The following is a 1,748-nucleotide window of genomic DNA, read 5'->3' on the forward strand; positions in this document are numbered from 1 at the left end:
GAAAAATCATTACCAGCCACTGCAGAAACACACTGAAGTACAAAAACCAATGACACTATGAAGAAACTACATCAACAAGTCTGCAAAACTACCAGCTAGCATCATGATGAAAAGATCAAATTCACACATAACAATGTTAATCTTAAATGTAAATGGACTAAATGCCTCAATTAAAAGAATGGCAAGCTGGATAATGAATCAAGACTCATTGCTGTGCTGTATTCAAGAGACCCATCTAACAGGCAAAAACACACATAGGCTCAAAATAAAAGGATAGAGGAAAATCTACCAAACAAATGGAAAGCATCAAAAAGCAGAGGTTGCAATCCTAGTGACTGACAAAACAGACTTTATACCAATGCAGATCAAAAAAGACAAAGAAGGGCATTACATAATGGTAAAGGGTTCAATTCAACAAGAAGAGTTAACTATCCTAAGTATATATGCAGCCAATACAGGAGCACCCAAATTCATAAAACAAGTTATTAGAGACCTACAAGGAGACTTAGATTCCCACACAATAATAGTGGGAGACTTTAACACCCCACTGTCAACATTAGACAGATCATCAAGACACAAAATTAACAAAGATATTCAGGACTTGAACTCAGCTCTGGAGCAAGTAGACCTAGTAGATATCTACAGAATTCTCTACCCCAAAACAACAGAATATACATTCTTCTTGGCACCACGTGGCACTTAACTCTAAAATCAATCACATAATTGGAAGTAAATCGCTCCTCAGCAAATGCAAAAGAAAAGAAATCAAAACAAACAGTCTCTCAGACCACAGCACAATCAAATTAGAACCCAAAACCAAGAAACCCACTCAAAACCACACAACTACATGGAAATTGAACAACCTGCTCCTAAATGACTCCTGGGTAAATAATGAAATTAAAGCAGAAATCAAGGAGTTCTTTGAAACCAATAAGAACAAAGAGACAATGTACCCAAATCTCTGGGACACAGTTAAGCAGTGGTAAGCAGGAAATTTATAGCCCAAATGCCCACATCGAAAGTCTAGAAAGTTCTCAGATTGACATCCTAACATCACAACTAAAAGAACTAGAGGACCAAGAGCAAACAAACTCCAAAGCTAGCAGAAGACAAGAAATAACCAATATCTGAGTGGAACTTAAGGAGATAGAGGCTTGAAAAACCATTCCAAAATCAACAAATCCAGGAGCTAATTTTTTTTTGAAAAAATTAATAGAATAGATAGACCACTAGCTAGACTAATGAAGAAGAAAAGAGAAAAATCAAATAGACACAATAAAAAATTATAAAGTGGATATAACCACTGACCCCACAGAAATACAACCATCAGAAAATACTATAAACACCTCTATGCAAATAAACTAGAAAATCTAGAAGAAATGGATATATTCTTTGACACATACACCCACCCAAGGCTGAACCAGGAAAAAGTTGAATCCCTAAATAGACCAATAACAAGGCCTGAAATTAAGGCAGTAATAAATAACCTATCAACGAAAAAGAGGCCAGGACCAGATGGATTTACAGCTGAATTCTACCAGAGGTATGAAGAGGAGCTGGTACCATTTCTTCTGAAACTATTCCAAACAATTAAAAAGGAATGACTCCTCCCTAACTCATTTTATGAGGACAGCATTATCCTGATACCAAAACAGCGCAGAAATATTTTTAAAAATTTTAGGCCAATATTCCTGATGTACATCTATGCAAAAATCCTCAATAGAATGCTGGCAAACTGAATCCAGCTG

Source organism: Homo sapiens, chromosome X, assembly GCF_000001405.40.
Source record: "Homo sapiens chromosome X, GRCh38.p14 Primary Assembly".
NCBI classification, from domain to species: domain Eukaryota; kingdom Metazoa; phylum Chordata; class Mammalia; order Primates; family Hominidae; genus Homo; species Homo sapiens.